This window comes from Homo sapiens, chromosome 1 (genome assembly GCF_000001405.40).
Source record: "Homo sapiens chromosome 1, GRCh38.p14 Primary Assembly".
In the NCBI taxonomy this organism is placed as follows: domain Eukaryota; kingdom Metazoa; phylum Chordata; class Mammalia; order Primates; family Hominidae; genus Homo; species Homo sapiens.
In genome coordinates this window covers 245,802,514-245,818,872 of record NC_000001.11, presented here as the reverse complement: position 1 = coordinate 245,818,872, position 16,359 = coordinate 245,802,514, and the positions used below count along the sequence as shown (strand labels likewise).

At 44.7% G+C, this 16,359-nt stretch overlaps 1 protein-coding gene across 19 annotated transcripts in view, besides 4 other annotated features; it reads left to right on the top strand.

The window, feature by feature from the left end:
• The window catches only part of SMYD3 (SET and MYND domain containing 3), a 757,933-nt gene that overhangs the window by 688,407 nt on the left and 53,167 nt on the right, over nt 1-16,359 (top strand). The gene's annotated exons all lie outside the window — the stretch shown is intronic.
• Nucleotides 1,425-2,039: an enhancer, noted in NCBI's record as "OCT4-NANOG-H3K27ac-H3K4me1 hESC enhancer chr1:245980136-245980750 (GRCh37/hg19 assembly coordinates)". NCBI's record gives its function as "activates a minimal SCP1, AML or CMV promoter by ChIP-STARR-seq in naive and primed H9 embryonic stem cells {active_cell/tissue: H9 hESC(naive and primed)}" and the evidence as "EXISTENCE:reporter gene assay evidence [ECO:0000049][PMID:30033119]".
• Nucleotides 2,040-2,655: an enhancer, noted in NCBI's record as "H3K27ac-H3K4me1 hESC enhancer chr1:245979520-245980135 (GRCh37/hg19 assembly coordinates)". NCBI's record gives its function as "activates a minimal SCP1, AML or CMV promoter by ChIP-STARR-seq in primed H9 embryonic stem cells {active_cell/tissue: H9 hESC(primed)}" and the evidence as "EXISTENCE:reporter gene assay evidence [ECO:0000049][PMID:30033119]".
• Nucleotides 8,069-8,158: an enhancer, noted in NCBI's record as "active region_2851". NCBI's record gives its function as "activates an Ori minimal core promoter by ATAC-STARR-seq in GM12878 lymphoblastoid cells {active_cell/tissue: GM12878}" and the evidence as "EXISTENCE:reporter gene assay evidence [ECO:0000049][PMID:35858748]".
• Nucleotides 11,461-11,620: an enhancer, noted in NCBI's record as "active region_2850". NCBI's record gives its function as "activates an Ori minimal core promoter by ATAC-STARR-seq in GM12878 lymphoblastoid cells {active_cell/tissue: GM12878}" and the evidence as "EXISTENCE:reporter gene assay evidence [ECO:0000049][PMID:35858748]".

Genomic DNA, 16,359 nt, shown 5'->3' with positions numbered 1-16,359 from the left:
TGTATTGGATGCATATATATTTAGGATAGTTAGCTCTTCTTGTTGAATTCATCCCTTTACCATTATGTAATGGCCTTCTTTGTCTCTTTTGATCTTTGTTGGTTTAAAGTCTGTTTTATCAGACTAGGATTGCAACCCCTGCCTTTTTTTTGTTTTCCATTTGCTTGGTAGATCTTCCTCCATCCTTTTATTTTGAGCCTATGTGTGTCTCTGCTCGTGAGATGGGTTTCCTGAATACAGCACACTGATGGGTCTTGACTCTTTATCCAATTTGCCAGTCTGTGTCTTTTAATTGGAGCATTTAGTCCATTTACGTTTAAAGTTAATATTGTTATGTGTGAATTTGATCCTGTCATTATGATGTTAGCTGGTTATTTTGCTCGTTAGTTGATGCAGTTTCTTCCTAGTCTCAATGGTCTTTACATTTTGGCATGATTTTGCAGTGGCTGGTACCGGTTGTTCCTTTCGATGTTTAGCGCTTCCTTCAGGAGCTCTTTTAGGGCAGGCCTGGTGGTGACAAAATCTCTCAGCATTTGCTTGTCTGTAAAGTATTTTATTTCTCCTTCACTTATGAAGCTTAGTTTGGCTGGATATGAAATTCTGGGTTGAAAATTCTTTTTAAGAATGTTGAATATTGCTCCCCACTCTCTTCTGGCTTGTAGGGTTTCTGCTGAGAGATCCGCTGTTAGTCTGATGGGCTTCCCTTTGAGGGTAACCCGATCTTTCTCTCTGGCTGCCCTTAACATTTTTTCCTTCATTTCAACTTTGGTGAATCTGACAATTATGTGTCTTGGAGTTGCTCTTCTCGAGGAGTATCTTTGTGGCGTTCTCTGTATTTCCTGAATCTGAATGTTGGCCTGCCTTGCTAGATTGGGGAAGTTCTCCTGGATAATATCCTGCAGAGTGCTTTCCAACTTGTTTCCATTCTCCCCATCACTTTCAGGTACACCAATCAGACGTAGATTTGGTCTTTTCACATAGTCCCATATTTCTTGGAGGCGTTGCTCATTTCTTTTTATTCTTTTTTCTCTAAACTTCCCTTCTCACTTCATTTCATTCATTTCATCTTCCATCACTGATACCCTTTCTTCCAGTTGATCACATCGGCTCCTGAGGCTTCTGCATTCTTCACATAGTTCTCGAGCCTTGGTTTTCAGCTCCATCAGCTCCTTTAAGCACTTCTCTGTATTGGTTATTCTAGTTATACATTCTTCTAAATTTTTTTCAAAGTTTTCAACTTCTTTGCCTTTGGTTTGAATGTCCTCCCATAGCTCAGAGTAATTTGATCGTCTGAAGCCTTCTTCTCTCAGGTCATCAAAGTCATTCTCCGTCCAGCTTTGTTCCGTTGCTGGTGAGGAACTGCGTTCCTTTGGAGGAGGAGAGGTGCTCTGCTTTTTAGAGTTTCCAGTTTTTCTGTTCTGTTTTTTCCCCATCTTTGTGGTTTTATCTACTTTTGGTCTTTGATGATGGTGATGTACAGATGGGTTTTTGGTGTGGATGTGCTTTCTGTTTGTTAGTTTTCCTTCTAACAGGCAGGACCCTCAGCTGCAGGGCTGTTGGAATACCCTGCCATGTGAGGTGTCAGTGTGCCCCTGCTGGGGGGTGCCTCCCAGTTAGGCTGCTCGGGGGTCAGGGGTCAGGGACCCACTTGAGGAGGCAGTCTGCCCGTTCTCAGATCTCCAGCTGCGTGCTGGGAGAACCACTGCTCTCTTCAAAGCTGTCAGACAGGGACACTTAAGTCTGCAGAGGTTACTGCTGTGTTTTTGTTTGTCTGTGCCCTGCCCCCAGAGGTGGAGCCTACAGAGGCAGGCAGGCCTCCTTGAGCTGTGGTGGGCTCCACCCAGTTCGAGCTTCCCGGCTGCTTTGTTTACCTAAGCAAGCCTGGGCAATGGCGGGCGCCCCTCCCCCAGCCTCGCTGCCGCCTTGCAGTTTGATCTCAGACTGCTGTGCTGGCAATCAGCGAGACTCCGTCGGGTAGGACCCTCCGAGCCAGATGCGGGATATAATCTCGTGGTGCGCCGTTTTTTAGGCCGGTCCGAAAAGCGCAATATTCGGGTGGGAGTGACCCGATTTTCCAGGTGCGTCCGTCACCCCTTTCTTTGACTAGGAAAGGGAACTCCCTGACCCCTGGCGCTTCCCGAGTGAGGCATTGCCTTACCCTGCTTCGGCTCGCGCACGGTGCGCGCACCCACTGACCTGTGCCCACTGTCTGGCACTCCCTAGTGAGATGAACCCGGTACCTCAGATGGAAATGCAGAAATCACCGTCTTCTATGTCACTCACGCTGGGAGCTGTAGACTGGAGCTGTTCCTATTCGGCCATCTTGGCTCCTCTTTTTTTTTTTTTTTTTTTTTTACATAGATGAAGGGGACCTCTCATAATAGATGGCACCTTGAGTTGGGTTGTAGCTGGCTTTTGCAGTTGCTTAGATGAGTATTGCATTGTTCCAGTCGTCCTATTCTGAAATGTGTCTGAGAATCCTGTTTTAGAGCCAAGCTCCATTCTAGCAAACAGTAGTGCAAGCCCCACTCCTTGGCCTGATTGATACAGTAATGGCACTGTCCACCCCCTAGCCACCCCGGGAGTACTCTCTGTGGGGAGTTTGCTGCTGCCGTCTAAACTGAAATGGACTTGATTTTCTCTTCTGAGTAGATGCTCAGCTGTAATCCATTGGGAGAAAATTCTTGATTTCTTGGGATATTTAGGAAGGCTAGCGACAGGTAGGAGCTTCTTTATTTATTATGCTTTTCTCTAGAAGCTTCATTGAATACATTATCTTCTGCCCCACACCCCAGGGCTTTGACCAAAATATCCTTGAGATACTGTGGCCCATATTCGGTCACAGAGGTGCACTGTTCTTTTGAAAGAATGGCATGCCGCAACTTACCTACTCACCTACAGAAGGTGAGTGCTGCAAGGCAGTCCCAGTAGGCACTTGGAGTGGAGCTTTGATGAATCCGAAGGATCATGGGCTTTGGAATCACAAGACCCAGGTCCAAGGCCTGATCTCTGCTTCTTACCAGCAGGCTGTGAAGGCTGTGAAACACTTCAAAGGCCCGTAATTTCTCAGTTTGTAAAAACAGCGATTTTCATTTCTGTCTCTTAGGGGTTGATTCAGTGAGACAGTGGCTGTGGAAAAACTTTATAGACTGTAAAGTGTTAAAGACATATCCTTTGTCTCTGTTCTTATCTAAGAATGATGTTTTAATGCTTTTGAGCAGGACACAGAGAGGTGCTACAGGGACAGGGTTGCTTCTACCACCAGCCATCTGGCTATGTTGATAACTGGGATCTGTGTACTTCTTGACCTGTGATGCTCAAGTCTTAATATGCATCAGAGTCACTTGGGGGCTAGGCCCCATGTCTCTAAAATCCCCTTGGTTGATCTGGGATCCATGTGTCATTAGCTCCCCAGCTATTCTGATGGAGGTTACCCATAAGCTCCACTTTGAGAAAAACTAGAGCGTACAGCTTGGACTAGATGACCATGGAGATTGGGATGGAAGGAAAAGCATGGTAGGGTCATGTCTGTGTGCACCCCTGAATGAGAGGCAAGGACTCCTTCGTGTTGAGTTAACCAACAGCTCTTCTGGGCTCTGCCACTATCACGTTCCATTTGTTAACAGTTGCTTCCTGTGTGTGTTTGTGTTTTTTTCTGGTTGGGATGTTTGGCCTCTTTTAGTTGTGAGAAACAATGCTGGGGCCATGAGTGTAAAAGCATCTTCTGTTTTATTGTTGGTAGCAATAGTTGCCTGGCTTGACTGAAAGTCATTTTCCTTGGAGGTTGTACCTAAAGATTTAGCGGATGGATCAAGACCATTGTCCTGCTCTGGCTTTCTGATATCACCTCACCTCATGGTGTCTGTGGGCTTAGTTTACCCTTCATTTATTTTGAGCACCAATGGACAGCTGTCTTTGTTTTGTGTGTTTTGTGAGGAAGATGTCTTGGGAGCCTTCAGTGAAGATAGAGTGTGTGTGTGTGCATGCGTGTGTGCGTGCGTGTGTGTGTGCTTGCGTGTGTGTGCGTGCATGTGTGTGCGTGTGTGCGTGCGTGTGTGTGTGTGCATGGTGGGATAAGGGATAAGGTCATTTGAGAGGATCTGGAAGCCAAGGGAAACAGGTCTGCTGGGAATTCCAAAATTCTGTCTAGTAGAAGATCTTAAAGTTTATTCCTCATCGGAGCTCTTAGCAGAGCCGGCACAAGCTTAAGTGACCTTGAAGCCTTTAGAAAGAGCAGCTTCTCCGCAATGCCAGTCACATGGCACAGAAGATCAAGATGTTGTTTAAATAAAATCTTGCAGCAGCATCCATTTCACAGGTCCCTGGGGCCGCGTGTAGTCAGTACTAGAAGGGCAAGACTTTAAAACAAGTATGTGGTGTAACAGTAGCATTCTTTTTATTTTATTTATTTATTTTTATTGTTTATTTTTTCGTTTTTATTTTTTTTTTGCCCCCAGTTGAAGAAGACCAGGAAAGAATCTTCTTTTAAAAAACTGAGCTCTATCTGTCCTGATTCCTGGTGCTGCTTCAGGTATCTACCTTAATTTTCTTATATTCCTATGAAGACAGTGGTTTGGATAATTGGAGGTAGCTATACACTGAAATTATTAAATTGTTTACCTTCAAAACAGGAGTAGACCAGAAATGCAGGTCCTTGTCCTCAGAACTGCAGTTCACATCATATTCAGTAATTAATTTAATAGTCACGTTTTCCTCCCAGGCTAGACAGGAAGGGCACTAACTTTGACTTAGGATCCCTTTTGTAGCTCCCACATTATGTGAGGATATCAATTTGCCTTCTGTTTATTTTTCTTTATTATAAAAATAAATTTATTATAAAAACTTTATTATAAAATTTTGCTGTCATTTAAAAATATACGGAAAAGGTGAAACAATGAAGAAATCTACAATCACCTAAAAGCAACTACAATGAATATTTTAGCTGATCTCATGCCAGTGATTCATCTGTATATATATATATATATATATATATATATATATATATATATATAGGGCTCCATGAATTAACCTAAATGACAGAGCAGGTTAGGTGCTTAATATTCTGAGGCCATCTAAACTCAACATCTTGCCTTTCTCTTGAGGGCAGCTCCTCCACTAGTCCCTTTTCTTCATGGTTTCAGAGACTTTCCCAGCCTGCCAGTCTTCATTTGGAGGCTTTCTATGGAGCTTTGTGAAATCACAGTAAACCCTTTGACATGCAGCGCTGTTGCCCACCTAGTCTTCAGCCTTGCTGTAAAGGTGAAGTAGATTAGTTAGACAGGGTTTTGCCCTTCTGACTCCTTGTTGATTATCTCTTTTTAGATAATTACTATTCATGTACCTTTCTCAATGCCCTTAGGTGAGAGAATAGCTTCCTTTCTTCCTGATTTGATTCTGTAGCATAGACAACCTTCCTTTCAGGGGGCTGGATTCATTTAACTCTTATCTTCAGGCCAGCTGCTGTGCTTGCACCTGGGGGAAGGAGGTTTGCTTGTGTGCTGCATGTTGACCCTTATACATTTTATCTAAGAGAACATTTTCAAATGAAAGAAGCTGTCTAGGCCTGGTGCGGTGGCTCATGCCTGTAATCCCAGCACTTTGAGAGACCCAGGCAGGTGGATCCCAAAGTCAGGAGTTCGAGACCAGGCTGGCCAACATAGTGAAACGCCGTCTCTCCTAAAAATACAAAAATTAGCCGGGCGTGGTGGCGGGCGCCTGTAGTCCCAGCTACTTGGGAGGCTGAGGCAGGAGAATCACTTGAACCTGGGAGGCGGAGGTTACAATGAGCTGAGATCGCGCCACTGCACTCCAGCCTGGGCAACAGAGCGAGACTCCGTCTCAAAAAAAAAAAAAAAAAAAAAAAAAAAGAAGCTGTCTCATGACCATGGCTCCATGCCTTCCTCTCCTCCTCACCTCCTCACCCCAACTACCCCTCTATTCTTTGCTCAAATCAAACTCCGGCTTGCCCACTAGATGAGATTTACTCACCCACAGTAGTCTGTATTTTTCCAAAGAAGAAAAAGAGGTATTCATGACTATATCCTGATAAATGATGAAGCCTTCCCTCCCAGCCCACTCTGAGTGAGTGAGTGACCCCTTTCTTCTCAGTTCCTGCTACTGAGTGAGTTTCTCTGTCTCTCTCGCTCGCTCTTTCTCTTTTTTTTTTTTTTTGGAACTGTTGTTTAGAAGTAAGAATTTGTCATTCTTACCAAAGCACTGGGCATGGGCCTGTTCTCTCTTGGGCTACTCTGACCAGGGGTTGGTTTCCTAGACCTGCATCCAGGTGTGTTTTCACGGAAAATACCCCTCCCTCTCTTAGGGTTTCCTCGGGCAGCCCTGGTGACGTTGGTCACAATGGAGGATGCTGAGAGGACAGTGGTGGTTGGGCACACCCTCTCGTAGAGCACAGGACCAATGTCTTCCTGACGGTGTTCACTCATTCCTTTGTGCGGCCATCAGATAGCAGTGGTGGTGCCTGGTAGTAGGGGAAGGTTTACAAACCCTGGGGCAGCTCCTGCATGAGGAGGGCCAGCACATTCAGGGAACTGAAATAATTCAGGCCCTCCTGAGCACAAGCTTGTCCTCTATGCAAAGGTGAAGCAGTTCATACACTCAGAGGATTTTAGAATTAAAAGGAACAGTTTTAACTGTTGGACTTTAGTCCTTCAATCCATCCTTATGGTTTTCTGGGAGAGAAAAAGGTCCACCGAGGTAAAGTGAGTTGCCCACACACGTGACTGGCTGATGTGGCCTGCAGACTCGTATCCCGGAGATCATGCCAATCTCAAGCCACCGAACATAATTATCACCTACTTCCAGAATGACATTCCATATCCCTGAAAATGGAAAATCAATTTTGAAACAATCTAAGCAAAGAAAGAGGACCATCTTCTGTGCTAGTGTGTTGTATGCAGTAGGAAGAACGGGCTTCGGAGTGGACACAGACCCATGTTCAAATGTAAATTCTTCCATTTACTAGGTGGGTGATTTCAGGCAGCATGCTTAACCTTTCAGAGCCTCAGTTTATATCATCAGTAAAATGAAGATAACCTTTCAAGAATTCATCAAAAAGATTAATGGAACAGTATCCATAGAGCACCTGTACAGCACATCACCTGATTTTTAACTTTCAAGAAATAGTGGTTATTGGCCATTTGTGATTAGAGATGTGTTCACTCCTCACTGATCTGTGTTTAGGAAGATAGCTTTTTCCAAATATGAAATTTTTATGTGTCTGGTAGAGAGAGGGTGGAAATGGAACTGTGGTTGTAAAGGCAAAATGACAAGAACGGCCACATTAGATCATTAACTGTTCCAAAAACCTCTCATCAGATGTTTTTCCAAATTCAGAAGATCCTAAGCCCAGTCCTTTAAAAAAATAATGTTAAAAGTATAGTGCTAAGAAACCCAAGACTTTCAACATTTCAAATCTGTCTGGGAGTACACATACAGAAAGCATAACAGATAGTTAATGGAATCTGTCTTTTTGATGATAATTATAGCATTCTTAAGTAGGCTGGAAACACATCTGTATACCTGAACTGCTTCAAAATTATTTGCTTCAAGGGGGCATTCAGTATCTTGCTAAACTTTCAAGTTAGAGATAACTACTGTTTAAATTGATGGCAGGTGTTTGATCTATAAATAAGAGCTGTACTTTGCACTTCAGCGCTCTGTTTACCTGCTGCACGGTGTTCATTTGCATCACCCTGGGAAACTGGAAAGGCCACAGGAATAGGCATCAGTGATACACCAGACGTGACAGCTGAAACACAGCCTTCACACTTACAAATTCCAGGAGGGACTAGCTCTCCTTTCAGAGGCAAGAAGCCATGTTGAATTGGAAGATGCATCAGTGAGCCTGGAGAGAGGTGAGAAAATCATATCAGAAGTGTAATGAGCACTAGGGATTTTGTCCAGAGTATGTGATAACCTCACTAGCTACTGAAAAATCTTGCCTAGTTATTTATGTTTTCAGTCAGCCTCAGTGTGGAGACTGCACTCCCTCCGTCTGCTCGGCCACGTGGCTTTGGCAGCCTCATCTCTTTTCAGCATCGTGCCCATATTTCAATTTGCTGTTGGGGAATTCTTTGAAAAGTGCGTCTTTCTCTGCAGTTCTCAGCTCAGTTCTCATTCAAATTACAGAATTCTGATGCTGGTCCTGGGGCTTACCCAGGCTAGACACATAAGCTCTAAGAGGCTTTCCCTTTTCCACGCTCCTCACACCTGAAACTGCTGCTCAGGTCCATAGCGCAGGTCAGAGGGATGATCAGTTCTTGAATCACTCCCCAAACCCTGCCCCCACCAGCCTTCAACTCCGTGGCTGCAGTGGAGACAGAGGCTTTGGGTGAATAACAGAGTAGGTGCTGTCGACTGGCTTCCTGACTACTCACAGACCACAGTCTTGCCAGTACCAATGCCATCTGTACAAGGATGCTTAGAGTTCTGGGAAGGGAGTAAGGAGGATTAGCGGGGGATTCTGAAACAGGTGCCCTGCCTCAGGGCGCCAGAGTCATGGGGGTCATCCCCAGGGGAGGGATCACCAGTACAAATTGCTGTACAGTGAGCCTGTCTCATACTTGAGCTGCAGAATGAGTTGTAGGCTCTTAGTTCTGAGTTCTGTGACAGCCTCTCCCAGCCTGTTGGGTGAGAGGCCTCACCTAGCAAGAGAGGTGATGTTTGTTCCAAAGAGCTGCTCTAACTCGAAGGCTCTGCTGCCTTGTGGTAGACTCCCAGAGTACTGCGGAAAGAGACAAGGCCGCCTCCTGCCCAGGCAGCAGGAAGAACTGTTAAACTTGGTGAAATTGGTTTCTGGTGGTGAAATGGATGGTACCCAATGAGTACTACTTACCTCGTTTGTCCCCTCTGAAACCAAAATCTTGGCTCCAGTGGTAAATTGGGTACCTGCATTTCAGCTACCTGGAGGGTCTCTTTATCTTGGGACTTTGTGAAAATGACAATGAGAGAGAACCTGTCATCTATGATGAAGACTCAGTACAGCTAATTCCAAATCTTTACAATAATAAGTTGTCAAGGATAATACAGAGAAACTTCTGCCACCAGTCTGCAGTTCTGTCTCACTAGGGAATTGTCCCTGAGCAGTGTGGCCCTGGGAAGCTCCTCTGTGCTGGCCTGGCCAGGATCCTCTTTTCATTGTCCCCTTTTTGTCCTGGTCAGGCACAATTGTGCCCGCACTAGGATGTTTTCTGCGTCTTGCCTCCTAACCACGCCAAGCTTTCAGCCTTTACTTGGGAATCTAAACAATGCCTTCCTGACGTTGCACTCCTTGTTCTCTCTCACCTGAGTGTTTTTGTCTGTATGACCAGCTGCCACACAAAGGAACAACAGCAGGGTTCTCAGGGAGGGGCACTTCTTTGGTTCACAAAGTTAGAACTCTACTCCTTCCTCCTTTTGAACTCACTGGGCTTGGGAAGAAAGCGCCTCTCCTGCTTTCTCTGTGGGTCCCAACTGAGGTGGGTGCTATTGGTCCCTGAGGGAGACACAGACAAATCCCCGAAAGCCTGGCATAGCACTGTCTGTCAGTGCAGGTTTCATACAGAGGGTTGGAGAAAGGAAATGGGTGCACAGTTGGAGAAGAGAAAAGTGGCAGATGGTTCTGCAGGTTTTTTCTTCTCTTATTTGCCTGACAGATGAAATTGTAATTGATTTACCAAATGATCACTAATAACAAGGCCCATACTTGTTATGTGTTTGATAGTAGTGAGCAGCAGGAACCAGAGGCAGTACAGAGCCCTGAGTTATTTGGAGACCTCATGAAAAGCCTTTTGAGCCCAGTCTGACTTCTTAAAATCACAACCGGCCAGGAGCAGTGGCTCACGCCTGTAATCCCAGCACTTTGGGAGGCCGAGGCGGGCGGAGGTCAGGAGTCCAAGACCAGCCTGGCCAACATGGTGAAACCCCATCTCTTCTAAAAATACAAACATTAGCCAGGTGTGGTGGTGCATGCCTGTAATCTCAGCTGTTCGGGAGGCTGAGGCACGAGAATCGCTTGAACCCAGGAGGTAGTGGTTCCAATGAGCTGAGATCGTGCCATTGCACTCCAGCCTGGGCAACAAAATGAGACTCTGTCTCACAAATAAAAACTAAAAAAAAAAGAAATCACAACCTAATTTATTTCCAAAAAAAAGCACTGTCCTGGGATGGGACAGCATCCCCAAGAAGAGGCTGAGGCACACTGCAGCCTCAATGGAGACAACTACACCTGCACAACAGGCAAACCTCAAGAGCCTCAGCAAGTTGAGAAGGCCAGTGTGTGCTTGAGAAAGGGGAAAGTGGCCAGCCTCACCCGGTCCAGGCGGCTCCCTCCTGCACCAGCTCTCAAGAGGCCAGCTCCTTCCTGAGTCAGGTGGTTCTCAGATAAAGTGAAAGTGGAGGCTACGCTTATTTCCTTTTGAATTCTCAGACCTGCTGATTTCCATTTTTGTTGGAGCCTTGTGTGATTGTGTTACCCTCTTCCCTTTTTCCTTTCAAAAGGATGTTTTGGGGCATCATGGCAGCATGTGGAAGAGTATGTGTATATGGGTGCCCAGGTTTGTGTATGTGTGTTACGTAGGTGGGGGTATGCATGCCCATATTGGTGCCAGGCTCTGAGAGACAAAGAAACAAGTATGCCATCTTTAGATCTGATTTTAAAAAAGAAACACCCCAGCCAAGGGCGTTTATCTGCTTAATGTACCAGAACTCAACTGCAGGAAACCCATTTCTATATTAGCATATCATGAAAATGTGCAGTGCAGCTGCCTGGGAACAGCCAGTTTATTATTGCTGGGGGCCGTCCTGGGTTATGATCTGGAAGAATTTGAATCGCCCTTTACATTTTTTTCTGTCCTCATTTTGATTTTGGCAGTGGCAGAAGAGGAGAATACTCTCAAGAGATTAAATTATTTCCCTTTAAAATTCTCTTGGAATCATAACGACTATTAAAAATTAAAGGCACCCATATCTCATGCTATTCAGCTTAACTGGTAATTAAAGTGCAATTAAATTTTTCACGGTGTAGATTGCTTCTGTTTTTTTGTTTTTTGTTTTTTTTTTTTTTCCCTGGGAAATTACAAACTCTGGGCTCTTGAGAGTTACAGGATTAATCTATAGACTTTTAATAATTCAGCTTTGATCAGGTGCCGTCACTTGATGCGTCTCTGAAAGGGAAGGGGGGACTGTAAAGTGTTGTTTTGTTATTAATGGTGAGTTTTAATTTTATTTGGTTTCTTAGAAACCAGGAAGTAACTACCAGTCCATGAATGCAAGGCCGTTTTCGAGTGCGGTTTTGAGTTGGCTGCGATTGCTCTCACTAATGTGTGCCGGTAATTCTCTCTCTGCTGCCAGGCCTGCTTCCCTCAAGTAGCATTGTGTAATTTGGGGTACAGTCCTGAGTTGTCACCAGTGAACAAGGTGTCAACATTGGACCGGAAGTTCGGAGGCTGACTTCGGTGGACCCTTTCTGGCCTTGGCCAAATGTTTCTTTTTCTCTCTTCTTCTTCCTCTCCAACCTTTTTTTTTTCTTTGTTGGTAAAAACGCGTTTGCATTGCAGAGCTGTAATCATAAGCAATTTCTTGACTTTTGTAAGACCTTTTGCTGACCTGAGGCTGATGGCCCCAGAGAGACCTGGTCAGCAGCATGGTCTCTGTGTAAGGAGAGTGGCCCTGGTCAGTTTGGCCAGGAGTGGAGGTGAGGGCTGCCCACTGTAGCCCGCCTGCAGCAGGACTTGCCATTTTCCAGCAAGCCTCCCAGTTGCACCATGCAGCCTGTGGGTGCTGCGTGGGAGGAGGAGTGAGCAGCAGCAGCCTGACCACACCCCACTCTTGACTGGTCCCAGAAGACACCTTCAGCCCTGTCCTCAATCCTGACTCATTTCTCTGTTCATTTCTAACTGTTAGGAAGATATGTCTTACCATTTTTCTCCCTCTTTTTTTTTTTTTTTTTTTTTTTTTTTTTGAGACGGAGTCTCGCTCTGTCGCCCAGGCCGGATTGCGGACTGCAGTGGCGCGATCTCGGCTCACTGCAAGCTCCGCCTCCCGGGTTCACGCCATTCTCCTGCCTCAGCCTCCCGAGTAGCTGGGACTACAGGCGCCCGCCACCGCGCCCGGCTAATTTTTTGTATTTTTAGTAGAGACGGGGTTTCACCTTGTTAGCCAGGATGGTCTCCATCTCCTGACCTCATGATCCACCCGCCTCGGCCTCCCAAAGTGCTGGGATTACAGGCGTGAGCCACCGCGCCCGGCCTTCTCCCTCTTTTAACCCACTTTGAAAGTTCATCTTTAGAAATAACACGTATCCCAAGTTGGCAAGGTGTCAGTTTAGGGCCAAGTTCCTGCAATATAGCATAGCAAGGAAGGGTTCAGGTATCGGAGGCAGGTAGGTTTCTGCGGCAACTCCATTGCTTTGAGATATTTTATTGTAGACATGGAATTTAACTTCCCTGAGCCTCAGTTTTCCCATTTCTAAAATGGATTTATTTACAGTACCTACCTCACAGCGTTGTGATAAGGATTAAGTAAGACAAATCCTAGCAATATGGATGGCAAAAAATAAGCATTCAACAAATATAAGCTGTTACTGTTTTTATTATTGATCATGAAATAGAACATCAGCATTTCTCTTTTTTACTTCTGGTATATTTTAATTCTGCATCCCCACTTTGGAGTAATTTTATAATATTTCCTAACAGACTGGAATTCTTTCTCTTCTTTCTCTTTCTTTTATCCTCTTTATGAGTAGCAAAAAAAGTTGAACAACTGGAAAGACCCCGTCTTCTTCATAACTGTCTTCCCAGCAGCTAACATATTCTCTGACACATAGTAGGCACTCAACTTGTAATAGATGGCCACAGGGTTGAAAGGAATGTCCAGAATTGATCAGATGATGGGGTAGGAAAGAAGAGAATCATTCTGGTTTCTTTATCCTTCTATCTCAAGTCATATGCTGCATATACTGAAGCAGTAGAAGGAACTTGGGAATATAAATTATATTAAAGCTGCAGATTCTTCAAATAATGTGCCCAAGCCTGGATTCTGAAGGCTTATTTGTCAGGTAAGACAGCAGATACTGAATCTCATATTAGCTCACAGGATAATGGCACAATGCATCATCAGTCTGAATGGGGACAGTACACAATTTTCTTTTGATTGCCTGGAGCCACAGACGGGGTGAGCACTGAATATTGATTTTTCAAAGGATGACTAATAGATGGTAAAAAAGCAAAATAGTTTTTGGTTTCAACCTATCCCTTTCCTGTGCCACAAATTTTGGCAGTAAATTAAAATAAACTTTTATTTCCCCAAAACAGGTAAAAGAGCAGAATTTATGCAGGAAGACTTAAGACACAAATGAACAGATGGCTGTGACTTTACAAATTGCACATCAGCAAATGTTTAACCAGCTCAGAAAATAGACAAAACTGATTAGAAACATTGAGTACTGTTCTGCTACTCTTATGGTTAGGATAATCTGACAATATTCTAGTAACTTTCATCTAATAACAATTTGATAATTTTAATCCAGTCTTAGGTCTTGGCTTGTGCAATTTTTCACAGTATACCTGACATCCAGCTTCTTGCTTCTGATGAGGACATAATAAACTTGCCCCTCTCTTATATTATCAACATTTGATTATGAAATAGCCTGATTCTTCCCTTCTCTGCATTAGTAACGTACTGGTTAAATCTACACATGTGGTAAACTTTTTTTTTTTTTTTCATTCTCACTTACCAGGAAATTCTATTTTCTTTTACCCAGGCTCTTACAATTTATCTGTGCAGGGTTTTAACTGCTTGGGCCTTGAACGCATGTACTTGTGAATCAGACTAGAAGCCAAAGCTTTTTTGAAGTTTTGATATGAAATGGGTCTTGCTTGTTGTGATTCAGTTCAACATTTTGAGATGGGTTGGTCCAGCATCATAAGCTTTTGTGTATGTGGTGGGTATCTTTGTGCTGCCACAACAAAATACCACAGACTGGGTAATTTATAAACAACAGAAAGTTACTCAGCACAGTTGGAGAGGCTGAGACACCAAGATCCAGGCACTGGCAGGTTCAGCGCCTGGTGAGGGCTGCTCGCTCCAACTTCAAGATGGTTCCTTGTTGCTGTGGCCTCCAGAGGGGATGAACTCTGTGTCCTCACGTGGCAGAATGCAAAAGGGCAAAAAAGGGGCCTAAGTTAGTTCCCTCTAGCTCTTTTATAAGGTACTAATTCATTTATAAGAGCAGAGCCCTCATGGCTTAATCAGTTCCCAAAGGCCCCACTCTTACTACCACTACAGTGGGAATTAAGTTTTTTTGTTTTTGTTTTTGTTTTGAGACGGAGTCTCGCTTTGTCACCCAGGCTGGAGTGCAGTGGTGCAATCTCAGCTCAATGCAAGCTCCGCCTCCCAGGTCCATGCCATTCTCCTGCCTCAGCCTCCCGAGTAGCTGGGACTACAGGCGCCCGTATTTTTAGTAGAGATGGGGTTTCACCACATTAGCCAGGATGGTCTGGATCTCCTGACTTCGTGATCCGCCTGCCTTGGCCTCCCAAAGTGCCACTGCGCCCGGCCGGGAATTAAGTTTTAACACATTAATTTGGGAGAACATCCAGACCACGGCAGTGAGTGCTATTGTGTGTGTATGCATGAGTATGTGCTTTAATAAGAAAGATACTGACTCAGCTGGGCGCGGTGCCTCACGCCTGTAATCCCAACACTTTGGGAGGCCGAGATGGGCAGATCACAAGGACAGGAGTTCAAGACCAGCCTGGCCAATATGTTGAAACCCTGTCTCTACTAAAAATACAAAAATTACCCGAGTGTGGTGGTGGGCGCCTGTGGTCCCAGCTGCTTGGAAGTCTGAGGCAGGAGAATCCTTGAACCCGGGAGGCGGAGGTTGCAGTGAGCCGAGATTGTGCCACTCCACTCCAGCCTGGGCGACAGAGAGAGACTCTGTCTCAAAAAAAAAAAAAAAAAATACTGACTTACGTAACTGGAAAGTCCAGGGATATCTGGCCTCAAGCCTGGTTGGATCCAGGGCTCAAAGGATCCAATAGGACATTGTTTCTCTGCATCTCTCTGTTCCCTCTTCTGTTGGCTTCAAAATCAGGCACATCAAATTTTAGAAATTTTCTTAAGCTGATAGGTTTGTGTGTTTGTCATTTTCCTTCCAGCTTTTGTTAACTCTAGAAATAATGATTTTCCTTTCCTTAAGAATTCCCACCTAATTCTAGTAGTTCCAGAAGGCATTTCTATAATGTCGTTTTGTTACATAATAACTTTTTAGCCTCCACGTGGCTGGGGTTTGCATTTGAGTTGTCGTCCATCTTCTTCCCACCATCATTGCACTCAGAGAAAAACCTGTAGAATACCACTTTCCCCAGCCACTGGGGGGCTTTGTGTGTATTTAACCATATGAAACTGTTGACAGTCACCATTGTTGACCTGTGAAATTGGCCAGTTCATACGTGAAATTGGCCAGTTCATATGGTTCAACCTAAAACACCAGGTTTGTAGTGGTAATTGTTTCTCAGCAACAGCAGTTGTGTCTAGAAAGCTTTGCATAAATTAATGTTTTTATTTTGCTGTTGGTTTGCTCCTAGCACCTCTCCTGTGCCCCAGTGTGACGAATAAACAGCTGGAGGCAAATGACAGAGTGCTTGCACATACGGCAAGCCATTCATAACTGAATCCCAGGTGCAAGATGACCATCTTTCATGTCACAGTCAGAGGTTTCGGCACGCCATTCCGGAATTTCACCATTAAATTAGGTCCTGTGAATCAGATAATGAAGAAAGAGAAGAAGTATTTTTAGAAGCTGTAGAGCTTCTCTGCCAGCCCTGTGAGTCTTGAACATTCATGCTTTTTAACTCATTTCTGGCAGTTTTGAGAGGCAAGTGGTGTCCACAGATTCATAAAGGCCAATGTTGCCTGTGTGCCAAGGCAGTTGGCAGCTGATAGAATTTCAGAACTAGAGAAGACTTTAAAGGTGATCTGATGGCAGCCCCTCAACAAGTCTCAATGACTTAAGAGATTTGCCCAAGATAAGAGCTTAAGACGAGGCCCAAGGTTTCCAGTCTGGTTCTGTCTTCCGATTATTCCATTATCTTGAAGAGCAATGCTGGCCTGGCAGATTCATTCCTCACTCTCTTCATAGCTTGACTTTTGTTGTTTTAAAAGAAATCACAGAATTTTAGGCCACCAACAGGCACCATGAGGGAACATTGGAAACTGGAGCCACCTTATTATCCAGAAAGCTCTGGAGCCCAAAGCCAGGCCCTAGGCTATAGCCTGAAGCCACTAACCAGGGGTAGCTGAAGCATGGTTGATTCCATCTCTAGTACTGCAATACTCCTGCTTTGGGGAGGTATGCAATGC